The sequence below is a fragment of the Homo sapiens genome, chromosome 2, assembly GCF_000001405.40.
Source record: "Homo sapiens chromosome 2, GRCh38.p14 Primary Assembly".
NCBI lineage: Eukaryota > Metazoa > Chordata > Mammalia > Primates > Hominidae > Homo > Homo sapiens.
In genome coordinates this window covers 1,861,069-1,881,643 of record NC_000002.12, presented here as the reverse complement: position 1 = coordinate 1,881,643, position 20,575 = coordinate 1,861,069, and the positions used below count along the sequence as shown (strand labels likewise).

The 20,575-nt window shown below is 49.0% G+C and overlaps 1 protein-coding gene across 29 annotated transcripts in view, besides 2 other annotated features; it reads left to right on the top strand.

Moving 5' to 3' along the window:
- MYT1L (myelin transcription factor 1 like) overlaps positions 1-20,575 on the top strand; it is a 542,163-nt gene that overhangs the window by 449,632 nt on the left and 71,956 nt on the right. The window lies entirely within an intron of this gene.
- Positions 6,475-6,975: an enhancer, noted in NCBI's record as "H3K4me1 hESC enhancer chr2:1878441-1878941 (GRCh37/hg19 assembly coordinates)". NCBI's record gives its function as "activates a minimal SCP1, AML or CMV promoter by ChIP-STARR-seq in naive H9 embryonic stem cells {active_cell/tissue: H9 hESC(naive)}" and the evidence as "EXISTENCE:reporter gene assay evidence [ECO:0000049][PMID:30033119]".
- Positions 15,796-16,419: an enhancer, noted in NCBI's record as "H3K27ac-H3K4me1 hESC enhancer chr2:1868997-1869620 (GRCh37/hg19 assembly coordinates)". NCBI's record gives its function as "activates a minimal SCP1, AML or CMV promoter by ChIP-STARR-seq in primed H9 embryonic stem cells {active_cell/tissue: H9 hESC(primed)}" and the evidence as "EXISTENCE:reporter gene assay evidence [ECO:0000049][PMID:30033119]".

Below are 20,575 nucleotides of genomic sequence, written 5' to 3'. Positions count from 1 at the left end.
ACAATCAGCTGAATGCATTTTCAACTTGCTCCTCCAGGGACCCAGTGCTACCATTTACATTTTCACATCTGCAAATGGTTTATAAAGTTTGCACTACGGCATTTACAAAAAAAATCCTACAAAATACAGCCTATTGGAGTTTTATTTTATCATAATGAGTAGGAGAAATTAAAATATAGGAAATACAATTAAGCATAATACAGTAAAACTTCTAAAACAAGAATGTTTCAAAATGACTTCAGACACACACACACACACACACACACACACACACACACACACACACACGAACCTGCAAACCAACAATAAACCACCCAGGTCTTGGTTCACGGAGTTTCTTGTTGAGGGAAGATGAGCCAGAAATGCCTCGGTCTTTCCTTCTGTTTCTCAAGTCCACTGTCAGGGCGAGCCCAGCAGCAGGAGCCTCCCTAGGCCCAGTGGAAGAGGCTACAAGTGGGGAGGGTCCCTGCTGCGAATCTTTCTTCCTGCCTCCTCCTCCTCTCACAGTAAGCCTGAGACCTGGATTATTAAGGGAGGGACCCAGGCATTGGGGTTTGGGCTGAATCTGACTTCTTTTAACTAACTATACTGACGCACAAGCCAGCCAAAAACAAAACAACCACCACATCGAGAACCTTTAGTGTTCAGCTTTTTAAAGGGCTTGATGAAACATTCCTAAAGTTCTCCAGCAATATTTGAAACGCAGTGCAGGTCCGTCTGTTTATGCCTCGCCATTGTCTTGGTTTTGATGAAGAAAATATTAAAATTCACTGAGTAAAAACTCAGACTTGGGTAATACAAGGAGGCAAGAGGTGGCAGGATCAGAGGCCAGTGGCCAAGATGCTCTGCTTTTCATGGAGAGGTTCTTTGTGCAAAAGAAAACGCAGACCATGGGTTTTCCAGTCATTGGAGATCACTGTCAATCTCCCTGTGCCTCAGTTTCCTTCCCTGTGAAGCGGGACAGTACTGGTAGCAAGCACACACCTGACATTCAATACCTGTTACCACTGACAACAACTGTGTACAAAAATCCCCACAAAATGAAACTTTTCCATTTTTCATTTATATTTCATTATTCATTCTTCTGAAAACTAAATGAAACATGCTGCATGTAGACCTGACTGCCCCATCTACAGTCAGTTAAGAAAATAAAGTCTCATTTAAAAGTGTTCTAGCTACTCAGGAGGCTGAGGCACAAGAATCACTGGAACCCGGGAGGCAGAGGTCGCAGTGAGCCGAGATCGCGCCACTGCACTCCAGCCTGTGTGACAGAGTGAGAGTCTGTCTCGAAAAGTAAAAATAAAAAGAGCTTTCTCCATCTTACCTTACCTCATTCATTGCTCAGGCCAAGAATGTTTTTACCTTTGCAGCCTACACTTTGGCAGCGTCAGCATATTGTTTGCTGAAGAGAGGGTGGCTTCTACTGACATTTTATTTTATCTTTAATTTGCCATATTTACCGGCTTCTTGACCAAATTGATCTGTTTGCCTTAAGCCATCTAAAAGGCAGTTTTCAAGGATGGTGGCTTGATTGAACTCAGAGGTAGGGAGCTCGACTCTCCCAGGGAATTAAGGTAAATTCCTAACTGTTCACTGAAGCTGGCTTTGTGATGTTTTTGGTTTTTATTGTGACAAATTTTGGAACATTTTAAATTCAGAAGAAAATCATGAGGAAGATTTTTAATGAAATGTTTCTTAGCATTCCATTCTTTCATTTCAAAATTATGAAACATTTAATACAAACATCAGAAACTACTGAATTGTATTGCATACTTTCAAACAAAAATCATGTCATCAAATCAAATGTAAAATAATGCATCTTATACAACCTATTTCAAAAATTTTTAAATACATTGATTTTTTAACTTCCGGATGACTTTTTAATATATACAGTATTCCTGTCACACATGAACAGAAGGAAGAATTTATTGTCCTTATAATTGTAAGTACTGAAGTTTTAAAGTTATTTAAAATATATATACACATATATTACTAAACTATAAATATATATTATTACTTTGCACACACACATTTTTTGTTATTTTTTGGTCTAGGTTTCAAAGATGGACACATTTCCTTTCATGAGACATGTTACATTGTTTGAGGTCTCTTCATATTTCACACCTAATTAAATTTGGCCTCTTCTAATTTGGAGGAATTCTGGGCTCCTCTGGAGTGGCTCTGAGAAGTGAGCTTTCTTGGACTTCATGGGCCCCCACATCTGACTCTGGGCAGCAAGAAGGATGAGAAGCCAGCACTCTGTGATGGGAGAGTCTAGTCAGAATGAGGAGGTTATGTTGTCCTTTAATTGTACATCTGAGGTTTTAATCTAGTAAACACTTCACTAATTTATAGTTCCCTGGAGCAAAATGAATGAAATTGGAAATAAAGTAGATGCTCCCTTTGGGAAATGATTGACAAGGATTTGGGATTTCCTGGCCATTTCAGGAGAGACTCGTTCTCTCCCAGGCGCTTTCTTGAGTGAAAGGCTTTGAAGGAACTCAAGGGCCGTTGGGTGCACAGGGGCCGGGGAAGCAGGAAAGCTCACAGCCACGTCTGCAATTTCAACCTATTGCTGTGCTCTCTCTTACATGTGATCTGTGGCCTTCCAGGGGTGGTGACTCAGGGAAATTACTTCTCTTCTCTTCTCTTGTATTGTTTTTTTGCATTTTTACAGAAAGAGGTTTGTTTCTGACACTAGTCAATTCCATTTAATGACATTTTAAAAGTCCCTAGGTTCTACAGGTGATTACATGTTTCTATTCATGAATGAGAGATGGAGACATCTCGTCTACCTCCAAAGAGAAATTGAGAATATTATAAGAATGTAAAGAGGTTGGACATCCCACACTTACCTGATGTTTTTAAGAAAAAGCTTTCTAATAATTAAAATAAAATGTGACTTGGTTATGGAAATGAGAGCCTGAAATGCCCGATGGAGCTTTCTGGGATGAAGTTGCCTGTTCTGTGCTGTCCCACATGAAAGTCACAAGCTGCTTGAATGAGGCTGCCGTGGCTAAGGAAGTGCATTCTTGATCGTATTTCATCTTCATTAATTCAAACTTAAATGCCCACATACACCAAGCAGGTGTACACACTGGACAGTGCCCAAGAGAACCTTACACTTATTTTATATTGTTCTTTGTGTGGTTTTTACTACACAAAGAACAAGAGAAATTATCTTAATTCTAATTAGAATTACATTCTAACAAACGTGTAGGAATATTCCATTTCTGAAACTGAACAGTTTATATTTTTTAAGCATCTGGCTTATACTACTAAGCCACTGACAAACAGTTTAATAATTTTTTATTAATATACTGGTATCTTTTTTTGTTTAATGCAGTTTGTAGACAGATTAAATGTGAAGTAAATGTCAGTGTTACCATTTTCAGAATGGAATACCTGCAAGCTGCACGGTGAGATGAGTGCAAACCTCACTGTTTGGGACGAGCACTGGGGCAGCACTCAATAGAAGTTACTGGAAAGACTCAGTTACACTATTGTGAAAAACCATGCAACTTGATTACTTTCAAGCATGGGCAGAAATTCACATTTAGTTAATCAGGTGTTATCAAAGAGAGGGCCACAGGCCACCTCCTTCAGTGACTAAATAAACCCGACGTAATTAACACATACATGGCTAATAATTGGGGCCTTCAAGTTCTTGGAAGCCTGTTTCCACCTGTATCTTCGATATTTCTCTCCCAAGCTTGCTGATGCATTAATTAGCACTACCTGCAGAGAAAAGCTTAGTCCACGGAGGGGGACCCCAGCACTTCCCTGGTCCCAGTTAGTTTTCATGTTGAATTAGGAAGATGTCATTATCATGCATTTTTTTTTTCTACAATTTAGGATACAAACAGGTGACCTATTTTAGGCAATTTTTGGTCTCAGAGCCAACTGAGAGCAAGCAGAGTTCAGCAGAACTGCTCACAGCCATGGCCGCGCCCGGAACCCCTGCCTGTCCCAGCACAGGCGTGCGAGCAGCCAGGTCCCATTCCTCAGCTCTCACCGTTCATGTCCCTCTCCCTTGGCCAAGTGCTGATGGCGTTCATCATGCACTCTTACTGAACAAGGATAAAAAATCTACCTGATATATAAAAGCACCTGCTTCTGGCACAAATGCATCCTCTTAGCAAAGGGGAGAAAATATCAGTCGAGCAAGGAAGTTTTTCAATGACTTTTTGGACATAAACCTAATATAAGCTCAAAAAATTGAGAAAGAAAAGACTTGGAAAAAAGAAAAAATATGTATAAACTCACCACTCTCACAGATATGTTTGCATTTTTGTGCAATCACAATGTGATTGAAACCTGCTTTTCTGCTTAGCATATAAGTCATATATCTTATTTTTAATCGCTGCATCATATTTCGGGGAAAATGTGTTTTTGCAGCTTCCATCATAGCCAACAAGTGATAAAAGTCTCCAGCACCAGGAATCCAGGCATTCTGAAGCCTGTGTTCTCCATGAGGGCTCCTTCCTCACCTATGCAGCTGCAACCACGGGGGTCTCCCCAGAGCTAGGGTGATGATAGGCAGAGCTTAGATGCTGAAGGGCTTTGCGGAGTGGGTTTTTCTGCTGCAGGGTTATAATTTATCCTACAGAACCACGGACTGACTGTGTGGTGTTCTCTGAGCTGTGGTCCTCCCGTGGGACCCTGGTCATAAGGAGACTCAGCTTGAGTCTCCAGCAGGGTGAGCAAGCCATGTCTGCGTCCTCCCCTGGTCTGACATTTGGGGAGACGGCGGACACATAGTCCCAGCATGCTTAGAAGACATCGGGATGCCAGCAGAGGAGGGGCAGGGAGAAAGTTCTAGAGCAGCAGAGCTGCATAGGCATCAGATCACCTGAGGTCACTGGTCTTGGCAGGACTTTAGTTCTGTCCTGAGTGAGACGTTGCTTCTCAAATCTCCCCGATGTCTTGCAGTTAGAGGCCAGTCCGGAGCCCTGGCAGTGGGGTGCAGGGCTGGGATGGGAGGCAGCAGGTGCTGAGGTTTCAATGGCGGCACGCATAGGGTCAGCTGCGGGGACTCAGTGTGGGCGAACAGCATCCAGGAGAGTCACCCAGAGGTCCACTCTGGCCACGGGCCATGGGGAAAGGTTGCCGGGGTGAGGGGTAGGCGCGGGCTCAGGAGCCCCAGATGGACGGGGGGGTCAGGGTCCCTGCAGGAGCTGTGTGGAGAGTGGAGGAGAGGGATGTCGTGCATGTGTGGGGGTGCTCTGGGGGCCTGTTCTCAGGCTGGACTCGGAGTCCTGGGCACGGATGGCACGAAGGCCACGCGTGGACGCATCACCAGGCAGTAGGTGTTGACAGACGAGGATGCCAAGACCCACCCCTTCTCACTCTCCCAGACTCTGGGGCTCAGGCCCACGCCCTGAGTCTGTTGCCACCCCCAGCGAGAGGGGCCCACAGAATCCGATTTTCTGGGAATTAAAATAACTACAAAATTTGGAAATTCCATCACAAAGATTTCTTCTCCAAATGTGCTACTCACCTGAGAGTACAGCATTCCCCTGCACATCACTGAAAATACCCGGGAATCAGGCGGCCAAAGAGACTTTCAATATCACTGCAGCCCTCAACCTCACCGCAGATGTGCACGTGGACAGAACTGTACTCCAGAAACCCGAAGTGTACATCTTTGTTAAGATATAACTACTGGGGATTATTTAAATAAGATTAAATAATGCGTTTTTCCTGTAACACATGAACAGAGAGATAGGGGCCCACTTTCAAGGGTAGAGAAGTTCACCAGCACAGCTGCACTAAGAGTGCAGAGCCCTGGGGTGGGAGAGGGAGCAGCGAGTTAATTCTTCCTCACTGGACCCTTGAACAAAGCAGGCCGAGGCTTAGGTGTGGCATCACTAGGTCAAGAAAGAATCGGAATGAAGGTCTTCTAGAGGAGATTTCTTTCCTGGCAATAATCTGATTATCAAACACGATCTGCTTCCGCTCATCGATCCCCGGACATCCACCCTTAGTAAAGTCTGGTTGCCTCCTGGCCCAGTGCTTGGGGACAGAGACAGAACGGCAGTGAGGCCGGGAGGGAAACTGAGGCACTCGCCTTCTCCTCAGAGAACTGCTTTGATTTTGCCTTGAACAGGAAGGATGGGACACATTCAGAGATGTGCGAAGTATTTCACCACAAGGCTTGAAGAGAGCGTAAGGAATCTGAAAATGTATATTTCTGTATTCTTAAAGCAACCATTTAAAATGTATGCATGTCTCTTGGTGCAAGGACCACGTCACGCCCTTCCCTCTTGGCCCTTGGCAAGGCAGGCACACTCTCTTGAAATGGACTTCCTTGGCCTCCCTGTTTTCTGAAATCCAGGCTGTTCACCCAGGCCCAACACCAGCACAATGTGCGACTCTCTAAAGGTCCAGTTTCCCGCCTCAGGATGTCACTGTGACCTTTCCCCGCAGCGATCGCACTCACCCCGGCAGCTCTATGCTCAGTCAGTATCTTCCGCCTGCGCCGGAACATAGAAGCCTTGGGGTAGGACGCCAGGCTTCCAGATTTGAGCCTCTCCCTGATGGCGCCCCTCAGCACATGTTGCCCATTGTTTAAAATCCAGGCCTTTAAGTAAAAAAGCTAATGAATAAATGAGAATATACTTATCTGCACCAAACAGCTCTGTGAGGAACGCAAGGACTCTGGAGGGAGGACCACGGATGGGCCAGCAGACGGGCCGCCAGGTGACCTCAGAAAGGAGGCTGCCTGTCCAAGCTCCGGGCTCTTCCTTAGTGAGGGGAGGGGCTGGCAAGATTGTCAGAAGTTCACGCGAGCCTGAAAATCCCGTTGCCCTAGGTGGAAATGGGGCAGGAGGATGGCTGAGGCCAGCATGTCACCTTTCCATGAGGACAGCTGTAAGACTGGCTGCTGGAGTTGCCTGCAAGTGGGATCAGGTTGCAGCATCACATGGAGGTGGCAAACGGCACGGGCAGAGGGACGTGGCTCCCTCTGGCTCTGCCACCCTGTGTCCGACATCATCACCTGCAGCAGGGCCTCAGACGGGGGAGCAGGTGATGGAGGAAGGACATCCGGCCCAGCCGCTGGACCACAGGTTGGTGGAAGCCACATCATTGCCCATTAGGTACGCCTGGCTGCCCCCCATCATGCCCTGAGCCCACATGGCCCGTCCACGGCCCTCCCCACAGCAGGGGAGAGGATCCCAGGGTGCAGCTGAGAGATAAGTCTGGCCAGTGCTAAAGAAAGTCAGCAGAGTTTGACAATCTTAACCAACGTGAAAACACTTAATAAAATAAGGAAAACACAGCACTTTTCCCCCTGTTACATTAGCTTGTCTTCACAAAGCAGGTGACCTTCCGTGCCCATTTCACAGATGGGGAACCTGAGGCTTCTTGTGGAGAAATGACTTGTATCTTTCCTTTGAAACTCATATTCACCTCCTACATTTAAAATTCATCTTGGGGGAAAAAAAAAAAAGAGCGTTTCCTGTTTTCCACACCTGGGTTGTTTGTGGAGGGAAAGGAGAAGAATATTGGGTTGCTGAGAACATGGGCATTCATCTCAGGCCGGCACGCAAACCCCTGGATCTGTGTCCTGGCTGCCCTCTCCTTGCCCTCTCCCTGTCCTTCCCCCGACTGTAGATTTCCTGTCACTTTCTTCGTGCCCTGTCCCATAGAATCCAGTATCTTTGACCATCCCTCATAGAGTCCGGTATCTTTGACCATCCCTCTCCACCCCTCTCCATCTGGGTGGTGGTCATTAGATGGAAGACACTGAGCCATCAGAACTCATCAGGTGCTGAATTTTCAGGCCAAATAGCTTTGAGTGTATTCTACTCTTTAGAACTTGTCTACTCTCAGGAAGTCAAGATCTATTTGTCGAGTTTTTCTATTCTTATTCCTTTGTTTGTTTTATGTTAAATCTGTCATGTTTTCAGCTGAAGCTCACAGGTGAGGGTCAGAGCTCTCTGAGCGCTCCCCAGCAGGCCAGCACCCTGAGTCTGGGATTGGGGCTTTCTGTGCACCCAGAATGGTGCCTGATGCCTGCCAGATGCTGAACAAATCATCAGTGAATTTAATTGAAGCAAAAATCTCAGTCATTCTTATTAATGCTGGCATTTCAGGAGGGCATCTGTAGCAATTACAATGCCATGTGCCTGACTGAGTTTGGGTTCAATCAGCTCTTACTATCAAATAACATGGCAGTGACTTGTGGCCTCTCCATGTACAGCCTCGGAGGCGCTGGCATCTCTCTAAGTATTTCTCATTTTTTTCTCATATCATGACAAGAGTTTTTGTCATTGAAAAATGTCTGCCTTTAGCTTTTAATTCCCAGGGATATCAAATGGAGTAAGATTTTAGGTAAAATAAAAATAGTTTAACATTTGTTTTTAATTTTATTATATTTGAGATCCACTATTTTCTGTAAAAATGTATATATTTTAAAATATAGTCTGAATATTTAAATTGCATTGATAAAGTTTCCTTAAAGGCCTGGAAACATTTGAAAACCTGGGAGGGTCTCAAAACATGCTGTGAGGCCATGACCCTGGAGAGCGGACCCTCTCTCCACCCGTCAGCAGCACCTGTGATTTCTATGGCCCCTCTGCAAAGGCCAAGGCAGGAGGCAGGAGCTGGGGCAGTGATTATGAGCACAGCCTTCAAAGCCAGACTGCTGGCTTCACTCCCTGGCTTGGCCACCCACAGGCTGTGTGATCCTCAGCAAGTTGCTTAACCTCTGTTTTCCCCATCTACACAGTGAGGATCATGCTGGCCCCTACCTGAGAGGTCATGATTATAAAATTAAATGGGCTCATGTTTGTAACGTGCTTAGAATAGCACCTGGTGGTGCCCAAAATAAGCTGTATAAGCATTTATTACAGAAAAGAATTAAATCCCAGAAAAGACAGGTAAGAACCAGCCCATGAATGGCCTGGAGTTTTGAGACTCTGTGGAGGAGGGAGGGCATGTCAGAAAAAAGAGGACAAAGATAATTAACAAACTAAAATTTATCCCACTTCCAGCAAGGAATGAAATAAAACTTCTTATACTTGAAATTCCAACAACCAAGATCAAAATATTTCAAAGATAAAAGAATTCCATTTTTCGAATATATCTTTGCCTTATTCTAATATGGTACAATTTAAAAATATTCAGACTTGTAGATCAGGCTGAAAATCATCAAATAAAAATGTTGACCAGCCCACAAGCCCATGGCTGATCTAGTCCACACCGCTGCCTTCTCCCTGTCCTCACCACTTTCCAAATTCTAAACCATTTTCCTAGCTGGCATATTTTGGTCGTCTTATTCTCTGTCATTTCTTTATTTTTCAAACTGCCTTAATTCTGGCTTCAGTTCTACCTTTCGTTGGATGACATGTGTGTGAGGGTGAGAACGTGATGGAAACGGAGGCACTTTTCATGCCCTGGTGGATGACTGGGGGTCGGAACATAGCTCTCCGAGACAATGATGGAGACATCCAGAAATCTCCTCCCTTCTGTTTCCCGTTCATGTAGATTCCAAGCCAGACCAGTCCCCAGGCTTCTTGGGGCAGCCTCTTTTACAGAAGATTAGACTTCCACTTCCCCAGGTACACACTAGCTCCACCTTCATGCGGCTGCACCAGCATCACCTTGATCAGTTACCCATCAAGTACAATGCGAGGTGCTCCATTGTCTCTACGAATAATGCAGCTCATACAATGCGCCTCCTCCAGAATCCATGTGGCGCTTCCGAGTTTCATGTCTCAGCGATGACCTCTGTTGCAGCTTCAGCTTGGATGGTCACCTCTTACTATCAGTGATAACAATTTTGGTTTGAATCCTGAGCTCTCTTATCCATGCTAGTGGCATCTTATACTTGCAAACTCTTCACTTCTTTCAGAATGTTGTGTTATCATTTGACCCACACAAGAATTTTTTCAACACATACTTGTTTAAGCCATTCTTATTGTGCCAGGCCCTGAAGAGGCTGAGGACTGAGGTGGCCTGAGAGCCTGGGGAGCAGCTGGGCCGGGCATCTGCCCTGTGAGATGAGGGGAGGGGCACAGGGACCCTCGATCCAGACCCTTCACCCCTCTAGCCACCTGGGCTTCTGCAAGTCAATTCAACTTTCTGAGCTTCAGTTTTCTTATCTAGAAAAAGCAACAATACCCTCTGCCCTCCGGCTTCACTGGACTCATGTGGGGTCCCACAGGGGCACGCTGTGTCCAGCTCTCTGCAGAGGACTGCGGCTGCAGGGCATGAATTGGTATCCCGGTTCTCCAGGCCAGGGAACTGAGGAGCAGAGATAGGAGGGGCCCTCCCGGAATTCTCCAGCAGCGGCGGCTTCCAGCCAGGTCTGGAGGCAAATCTTCCCACAGAGTCCCCTCCATCAGCGCACGGAGACACGTGATCTTGGCACACAGAGATTTCCGTAGCACTTCAAGGGTTAAATTAGTTGCCTAAGAGTAGAGGTTTTACTTTAGACATGTAAAGTCACTTGATTTTCAATCCATCAGAATCATGACTTTCTGTGTTAGCAGACTCTGGAAACCAGGAAGGGCCACGGATTAGACCGACTCTCAGACCCAGCTGCCCCTCCTCAGCTTCTTCTGTCTCACCTGCATTTCCTGTCCCTTTCCTCTCCCTCTGCGGGGAATTTGTGATCCATTTAAAATTGTTCGTGGATCCCGTGCACCAGCACACAGCCCCAGCCTAGGGCAGGGCGGGTAAAGCAGAAGACCAGTGAGAAACGGATGGTCCAGATGCCCAGTGGGCAGCTCGCAGAGCTGGGTCTCCACACACTGCAACCTGCTTCCACACGTAGGACACTTTAGCAGTAACTTTCAGAAATGAATATTGTACTTCCATTAAAATTGTAATGCTGCTTTTCACAGAGACAAGATTTCAACCCAATCTTCCGTAACTGGAGTAGCAAACAATGTTGATTAACATTTTTCAGTGTGCCATAGGCTCTGACAAATCACATAAAGAGAAAACACAGATCGTGTAAAATGTCCCTTTTGGAGTTCTGCCTACAACAGCATGATTCAGAGTTCACGATGGACTTGCCTGGCCAGGTCTTGTCTACAGGAGAAGAGGAAAATTCTTTCCAAATGAGGTCTTTGGCCCAAAATCACCAACTGAAAAGAGACCCCTGGTCACTGAGGCAAGACTGGGCCATTTCCACAAGCTCCTAGTGCCAGCAGACCGACCCTCTATGGCCACCTCAACCCTATCCTGTCCTGCTGTGTGTTTGAGAAGTTTCCAGGCTGCTGCTCTCTGGGGCAGAGTCATTCATGACCTTTCCATAGCCACACAGAACAGGGAGGGAGCTGAGGAAGGAGAATGCCAGGGAAAGACCTATCCCCCAGCACCAAGCAGGCTAGAAGTCCTGGACTGAGCCTTCAGATCAGCGTAATGGGACAGAGAGCTTGAGGACTCCTCCCCAAATCCATGCAGCTTGGGTGCACTTTGGATTTCTGCCAAAGCAACAAGCTTTCTCTGCACCGTGAAATGATTTCAATGAATAGTTTCAATGCAGAAATTCTCATTACTAGAGTCAGCATCTTCATGAGTCACCATCAGAACTGACATCATGCAACAGGTAGAGGAGAAGAATGCCCTCTGAGTTCGACTTCTCGGCTCTGAAAAATCGTCTGACAACCCTGATGGCTCATCAACCTTACAAATGGTCAATTTTTCAATGCAATGGATGAAGGCTGTTTATTTTTAATGTCGTTTGAATTTAAAGCACTTATTAGGTGACTAGCTTGTTTCCTGGTATGGAAATTGGAGATCTGTGTGGTATAGTGAGCAGACACTGGCCCCAGATTCAAACAGCCTTGGGAGCTCCTGGCTTGCCACTTGCTGGGAAACCTGAACTTAGTACTTGGTTTTCTTCAAACCTCAACTTCTTTCTGAAACTGGGATAATGATAATAATCATCTTCCAAGTCTAAGATGAGGACTAACTTAGATGAGTTAGCCTGTAAGTGCCTGATACTGTGTCTGGCAAACCGTAGGTAATCACTAGATACCACAGACCAGAACAGAGAGAAACGGCAGCATGAAGTCCTGCCTGCCTCATCACCATTCCTTCCACCTTAGAACTAAATGCTTCTCCCCGAAACCAGGGCGTTCTCATCATCTTGGAGCCTGTGAAGTGTGTAGGGCACGGAGTCCCATCTCTGTTACACCGACCACATGCAGGCACACACACAGGCTCACGCACATGCGTGCACCGGCACCGTGCACAGGACAAGGAGCCTCCAGGGAATGCAGCTGGCTACTGGGGAGGACTTGGAGTGCCAGGTCTCATGAGACCCCCAACTCAGTGCCCTTCCCAACCGGCTGCGCCATCGTCCCTGAACCACTTTCTTAGATGAAATGTCCAGGGCAGTTGGACAACACAACCCAGGTCCAGGACTGTGTGCTTTGTCTCTGGTGGAGGTACAGTGGCACGTGGAAAAGAGGATAAGTCCGGGACTGTGTGCTTTGTCTCTGGTGGAGGTACAGTGGCACGTGGAAAAGAGGATTGCAGCTAACACGTGATTCTGGTTTCTGTTTTGACTGTGCATGGACCGGTGAGGCACAGACCATGCCCTGGTGGCCATGCCAGGAGGCAGTCCTGGCTGAAGCTCTAGCACCCATGGCCTGCGGAAGCTCAGTGACAGCTGGTGTGTGTTCCAAAGGTTCCTGGGCTGTATATCCTTATCTCTGCTGAGGGCTGGTTAAGCTGAACCTGGTGTCACTGAGAGGCCTTCCCCTCTCCCGGGAGCCCACTCCCATGGCCACCACACCTGAGGGCATCTCCCCTCCCTCCTCGGTGCCTGGCAGCGCTGCAGTCAAGGAGCTGATCCAGGCTCTCAGGTTTCCTGCACACGGTAGAACCAGCCTGCACCGCAGGGAGGAGGGGGGAGGAGGGAGCCTAGCAACCGTGTCTCCATAGCAACGCTCGTCTGCATCCCCCCTGCCTCTCAGCCCCAGGGCAGGCCCACGAGTGCCAGAGAAGGGGGGCACAGAGAAGGCAGCCTGAGGAATGGACCCCCTTCCCTTCCTAAGCCTTCAAAGAGCCTTCCTCCCTGGCTGGGGACGCCTGCCCTGCCTTCGGGGCCGGGGAGAGGGGGCTCTGGAGACCTGCTCCTTGCCAGTGCTGATAAGACAGGAAAATTAAAAACCACTGCAAGCCTCTCATCCTCTAAGATCCTTCCCAATTATCAAGGGTTTCTTCCTTCCTTCCTTCCTTCCTCTTCTAGAAAATCATTCCTATTCTTTCTTTATAGCTTACATAACAACAGATCATTTTTAAAAGGAGATTCTTTGCCTAAGAAGCACATTTTTGATATTATGCAAGTGCAGGTTCTATGAAAATACACTCTGAGACAGACACATTTTTAAATGATTTTCTTAAACATCAGAGCCAAGGCCGGGCGCGGTGGCTCACACCTGTAATCCCAGCACTTTGGGAGGCCAAGGCGGGCAGATCACCTGAGGTCAGGAGTTCAAAACCAGCCTGGCCAACCTGGTGAAACCCCATCTTTACTAAAAATGCAAAAATTGGGCATGGTGGTGCACGCCTGTAGTCCCAGCTACTTGGGAGGCTGAGGCAGGGGAATCACCTGAACCCAGGAGGCGGAGGTAGCAGTGAGCCAAGATCACGCCACTGCACTCCAGCCTGGTGACAGAGCAGGACTCTGTCAAAAAAAAAAGAAAGAAAAGCATAGAGCCAAAGTTGCTTCCCATTGAAGGTTTACTAAATAAAGATAGATATTTCTAACATGAAATTTGCCACAGTCAGCAGCCCCACCCTCCCGCCATAAGATGTTCTTTTATTTGGAACAGTTTTGGGGAAACAAATTAATGGAGAATAGCTAATGTAATGAAGGTAATGTGTGAACAATGACCTTCATCTACATATTCACATTAATGAGCATATCTATATCTAATCGGCAAACTTTCATTGCATCCAGACTGCCATGAGGGGGAATTGCAGACAGAGGCATATGCAGCCTCCATCCTCTCTGGAGGAGAGCCAGAGAGCGCCCCGAGGTCCCCCACCCCCAGAAACCTGTGGACGTGGCTGCCAGGACCACTCTTGGCATCTGCCATTCACTGACTTGACTTTCTCCTAATCCTCCTCTGACAGATGAGCTTCCTCTCCCCAGCCAGAGGCAAGGAACACCCTTGAGACTGAAGTTGAGGACTTTGGATTCAAGTTGGTGATTAGTAGTGCAGGAAAACCTGCCAGACGTCTGAACCCAACCTCCAGGGACGAGACATGGGATAGGCAGGAGGCAAGGGCGCTGTGGGGCACCGGGGTGAGAGCCAAGACAATGGGGCCTCTGAAAGATGCTCATAGCCTGAGTCCTGTGTGCGACCCTCGGTTTACTTCCCAGCAAGGGTGACCCTCGGTTCATTTCCAGCAAGGCCCCCCTTCATCCACACCTTCGCCCAAGGTCTCCCTGACAGGCGCCCTCACCCCACACCCTTTTCTCCACTCAGTGACTTCCTGGGGCTGAAGCTGCTTCCCTGGCACTGCTGCACTCTGTGCTTGCTGTGAGCAAGACTCTGTCTCTCTCCCTCCGTCTCTCTTTCTCTCTCTCTCCCTTCCTCCCTCCCTCTCTCCCCCAACCCTCTCTCCCTGGCTGCCCCTCTCCCTCTCTCCCCCATCCCTCTCTAGCTGCCTGCTTTACTCTCTCTCTCTCTCTCTCTCCTCCCTCTCTCTCTCTTTCTGTTTCTCTCTCCCTGCCTTTCCCCACCCTCTCACTCTCTGCCTGCCTCTGTCTCTCACCCTTTCCCTCTCTCTTTCTCTGCCCATCTCTCTCTGCCCTCCCTCTCTGACGGCCTCTCTCTCTCCCCCTCCCTCTCTCTCTCCCCCCTTCTCTGCCTCTCTCTCTCCCCCTCCCTCTCTCTCTCTGCCTCTCTCCCCCTCCCTCTCTCTCTGCCTCTCTCTCTCCCTCCCTCTCTGCCTCTCTCTCTCCCTCCCTCTCCCTCTCTCTCTGCCTCTCTCTCTCCCTCCCTCTCCCTCTCTCTCTGTCTCTCTCTCTCCCTCCCTCTCCCTCTGCCTCTCTCTCTCCCCCTCCCTCTCCCTCTCTCTCTGCCTGCCTCTCTCTCTCTCCCCTTCCCTCTCCCTCTCTCCTTGCCTCTCTCTCTCCTCCCAACTCTCTCTCTCCCCTTCTCTCTCTGCCTGCCTCTCTCCTCCCACCTCTCCTCCCTCTCTCTCTCTGCCTCTCTCTCTCTCTCCCACTCTCTCTCTCTGCCTGCCTCCTTCTCTCTCCTCCCCCACCTCTCTGACTGCCTCTCTCTCTCTCATCTTCGTAAGGCCATCATGATCCACACCTATGGAAGCTGTGGGCAGCAGGCGACGGGGCCAGAGGTGTCTGTGGAGCCTTGATCCTTTGTCCACTCACAACACCCCATGGTCCTGACTCTGCCTAGCTCTGACCTCTGTTTTAAGTGATCTTCCTTTTTTATAAAAAAGATCCCCTTGGCCATGGTCTCCACCTCGGCTTGACCTACCTGCTTCCATCTGGCCTGTACTTCTTCCCACAAGGCATCTCCAGGCCGCCTCCTGGATGCTTCGAGCTGCTCCATCGCAGGCAACTTCCTTTCGCACCTTTCAGTCCGCCCCTGCTGCAGCACTGTCACAGACAGCCCTTGGACACTGTAGCTCGGAGGCTAAACCCAGTGCCTCTGAGGTGGGACAGCTTGGGTTCAAAGCCCACTCCTTGCCATGGGCAAATTCCTGAATGCCTGTGCCTATTTCATCTGAAACAGGGTTGGCAGCAGTAGCCTCTTGCTCAGGGGACTGATGGGAACAGCAAGTGAGCAGGCAGCGTGTGGAGGAAGATGTTGTAAACACAGTGCTGCTGGCTCTTCTCATGGGGTCGTCTAACCCACCACGCGCCTTGTGTACTGAGCATGTACTAAGTGCTGGCTCTTCTTACCCCTGCAGAGCTCACAGGCCTTCTTGCTAACCTGTGAAAGTGCACTAGTCCCTATGTGATCACCTGCACCACCACGCAAAAGAAGGCTGCCAGCCTCCAGGAGATCCGGGACCTCTGTAACCTGGCCTAGCTGCTTAAAAAAAAAAGAAAAAAAACAAGGAGGGGGAGCTAAAATTCTCTGCACTTTATTTAGTTCTTTAGTCCTCACAAGGATCCTAACGATGCGGATGGGCATTATTTTTCCTATTTTACAGATGCAGAAACTAAGGCTCAGAAAGGTTCAGGGACTTGTTCTGAACACACGCCACACCAAGGGAATGGCAGAGCCTCAGGCCAAACCCGGTCTGGCTCTCTGACTCCGGGGCTCTTTGGCCACACCCCTGAGTGCCTCAGCCTCAAAGCCCACAGGAACCCCGCACGGCCGCAGGAGCAGGGCTGCTGGCCAGGTGTGCAAGCAGCTGGGCTGGAGGGGGTGTCCCTCAGCCCCGTCAGCCCCCTCTCACATCCAGTGCAGGTCCCACCTTTGTCTGCACCTTCCCCAAAGCAGGCGCTGAGTCCACCAGCCCCCAGCCCAGCTCTCCACACAGACGCCCAGGGACTCAGTACCCGGGGCAGATGCGGTAGCCTGGAGGGTTAGCACGCTGACACCCACACGGGCGCCCTTCCCCCGCCTCCCCACAAGAGCACCTGGTGGGGACAGCACCCTGGGGCCCATAGAGCAGCATCCTCTGGCAGAAGCCTGATGACAGGAAAAGCCAGAGCCTAAATAGAGTGGAAGCTCAGCAATCGGGCACAACTAAGCCAGGCTGAGCCCCAGCTCCCAGCTGAGAGCCAGGAAAGACACTTGGAACAGGCCAACCCCTCTGGCAGCAGCCACCATCCTTCACCAGCTCTGCGAGCCTGGCATGTGGCTGGCTCCTCAGAACCTGTAGAGCATGAAGGCTGCCCCGAAGTGGCTGCTGAGGAGGCTTCAAGCAGGGGCCAAGAACCTCCCACACCTCCTTCTGTTCTGGGAGACATTGAGGGCAGAGATGTTGTGGAGGGGAGCTTCATGTGTGGAGGGGCACCCGTGCCTCCCATCCGGGCTCAGCCCTGCCCTCCCAGACCCTGAATAAACGAGATGCCTGAACACAGAGACAGCTCTGCGCAGGAGGCAAAGCGGGAGCTCAGCCTGGGGACGGCGACTGGGGGACAGGGCCAGCTCTCCCCTGGGGAGTGTCCAGCAAACTTTCTGTGGGGCCCCATGTTGAACGGGAGCCAATAGGACAGACAGGGCTGCAGACACGAAGTCGGCACATGCCTAGCTGAAGCTGGGAAGGCCGGAGCTGGCAGGGAGGGAGCGGCAAGACTGTGGAGGGCCTGCTGGAGACTGGATGCACCCATGGCAGGGAGGGCTGTGGAGACTCCGTGGAGGGTGCAGCCCCTAGGCAGGGGTTTCCAGAAGGCCCCGGACCTGCCAGGTCTGCTGGGGGCTTTCTTTCTGCGTGTTGGGGAGGACCTCAAACCACATGGCCCTCACACTAGAGTTGCCCTCCCCTGAGCATCCTGTCCCCTAAGAGCCGTGGAAGCCTCCTGGAATTCCCTGAAGAGGCATCTTTGTTTCCCAGAGGGAAGGCACAGCCCGGCCTGTCACCATCCACCTGGGCCATGTCAGGCTGTGAAGAAAACCTGCAGCCGCAGCCCTGGGGGGCATGAAGGCCAGTGGCAGGCGCCCATCCAGCCACCTTGTGATGCTCCTGCACTTCTCAGCAGACCCCAGCGGTCCTTGAGCTCCTCTCCTGAGGGTGAGCTCCACCACCCAAGGCAGCCGTTCTTTCCTCCGTCAACCATGGTTAGAGGCTCCTCCCGAGAGGGAGTCCCAAGACATTTATGAATGTTCAGAACAAGATTTCTTTCTGCCTTATAACATCTACTTCCCATCTATTTTAAAGGAGTCATTTGTTTCCCTCCTCTTCTCTGAGCTAACTATCCCCCCAAATATCCCCAAATGCCCCCCCCTTTTTTGTTTCTCAAGTGACATGGTTCAAGTCCTTCCACTGTCGCCACCACTGTCGGAATACAATCGGCACATACCGTTTCTATCCCTCCTGGGGTCGGGCTGGAGCGGGACATGCCATTTCTATCCTTCCGGGGTTTGGGCCTGGAGTGGGACATGCCGTTTCTATCCTTCCGGGGGTCGGGCTGGCGCGGGACAGTACTCTGCAAGCGTGGCTGTCACACTGCTGTGGCGTCATGTGAAAGGAAGTCTGTGGGGATGAATGTCGGAATCTCAACACATCTGAGCTCAGTCTTCTCACCCTTGGGTGGATTGCAGTTTTCTTGTTGTTTTGCTCTTGTAAGCACATCTTCATTTTTTTCATCCAGCCTACTTTCCCTAACTTACTCTTGAAACAGATTCCAGATGGGAAAGGGCCTGTGCTTCTCCTGCAGGTGGCCAGCGTGGACTAAGCCTGCTGGCAGCACCTTGGCTTATAGTCCCAAAGGCCACAGGATCCGTGAAAACAGCACACTCCACACTCAGTTCTCCTGAGTTAGGGATCTTTGGTTAAGGCACCCAATAGAAAGTCGAGAGCCTCAAGGAAGCAGGCCCTGTTTTTCTCTCCAAGAGTTCAGAGCAGGGATTGAGCCCCAAAGCTACCACCATCTCCATGGGGTGCCCAGCATCTCACATCTGGACACGCTACCATTCCCAGTGTCCATCTGGGCCAGCCCTGTATCCCTGGCCTCCTGGATCATTCCAGCGTTGTGAGCCTCCTGTTGGACACCAGAGTCTCCAGGATCTGTGGTGTATTTGTAATGCACCTGCAGCAGCTCCTCCTCTCCTCTCCTCCTCCTTTCTCCTTCTTCTCCCATCTTCCCTACTCACCTCTCTCCTTCTTGATTTTCCCTCTCCCCTGTCCACTCAGCCAATTCTCGTCTTTCCCCAGGGAACACACGTCACTGATTCCAGAGCCAGAATATGAGACGGCCACATCCCTGCAGCGTTTGCAGCAGGTGCTCCAACCTCTCTCTCTGCCCTCTTTGGCCCTCTTTGTAACCAGAGGGAAGACATGAGAAGCAGAGGACAGTGTAATTTTTAGCAACTGCTATGGATGGCTACTTCCTGACACAGAAGTCTAGATACATTTTATTTTCTTTCCTAGAATCTTCTTCAATCTTCTCAATTTTATATGACCTGGAAAGTCCATGTGAACTGATCAATAAAAAGCACAAAGAGGAACGAATGAGCCCTTGAGCTTTAAAAACAAATGAACTCACCCCATAGATCACATTATAGATTCTAGATTTAGGGGTGGGCATTATTGATAACAAGGGAACCGGCAAGAAGAGTTTAGTGCAGTCAAAACGCACCAGAAGGTAAGAGATGGTTCCTGTAATCTCAGCTTTGTTGCTCCTTTTTGACCTTAAAGGTACTTAACTCTTTACATCTGTTTCCTTGCCTGCAAAATAAAGATTTTTTGATTTTTTTTTAAAAACCTCTTGAAAAATTAAGTCTGTGAAATAATTTGTAAATTTGACAAATGAAACAAGGTTTGAAATCAGGGAAAAGGCAGATTCCGTGGTAGAAAGGAAGAATATGTTCCATTTTTAATAAAATAAGAGGCTGAAAGAGGAGAAAATAAACCCCAAAAAAGTTTTAAAATCATACTTATAAACAAGAGGATAGGGGCACGAGGCAGAATTTGGGAGGAAGAAAGAGAAAACATCAGGTAACCCCCGAGTGTGAAAAATCTCAGCGAATTCCAGGATTACACAGGCTGCAGGCAGATCCAGGATTACACAGGCTGCAGGCAGATCCAGGATTACACAGGCTGCAGGAGGATCCAGGATTACACAGGCTGTAGGAGGATCCAGGATTACACAGGCTGCAGGCAGATCTAGGATTACACAGGCTGCAGGCGGATCCAGGATTACACAGGCTGCAGGCAGATCTAGGATTACACAGTCTGCAGGCAGATCCAGGATTACACAGGCTGGAGGAGTATCCAGGATTACACAGGCTGCACACAGATCCAGGATTACATAGGCTGCAGGCAGATCCAGGATTACACAGGCCGTAGGAGGATCCACGATTACACAGGCTGTAGGAAGATCCAGGATTACACAGGCTGCAGGCAGATCTAGGATTACACAGGCTGCAGGCAGAGCACAGCGTCTTTAACACCCCCCCAAACCCCGATTAGAATACAAATCTTTTCCCTATGAGAGAAGTTAAGGGCTACAAAAAAAAAAAAAGATTCACAAACCAGGCAAACAAGAAAAAATAGCACAAAAATAACACGAATGTAAAGGATGAGGATCAACATTTCTGCTGAAGAGGAAAAACATGTACATCCCCTCCTGTCTAGGTGGCTCTAGAAATCCTTCCTTTCTCCTGTCCTGGAAGACCTGCCTTTCCTAAGGCAAGCTGAAGTCTACCAGCTTTTGGAAACTGATCTGCTTTTGAATTCTCTGAACCTCCCTTATGTAACTGAAAAGGAGTCTAAACCCTCCCGGAGGGAGATAGGAAGTGGCCGTCCCCATGCCCCAGTTCAGCAGTGGAAGAAGTCGCTGCCCTCAGGACCCCTCCAGGCACACACAGGAGTCTGTGTCTGACCCCACAGAATGGCTCTTTCAGTTCCTCAGGGCCTCGGGGTCCTCAGATTTAAAAAACAATATCTGAGCTGTGTT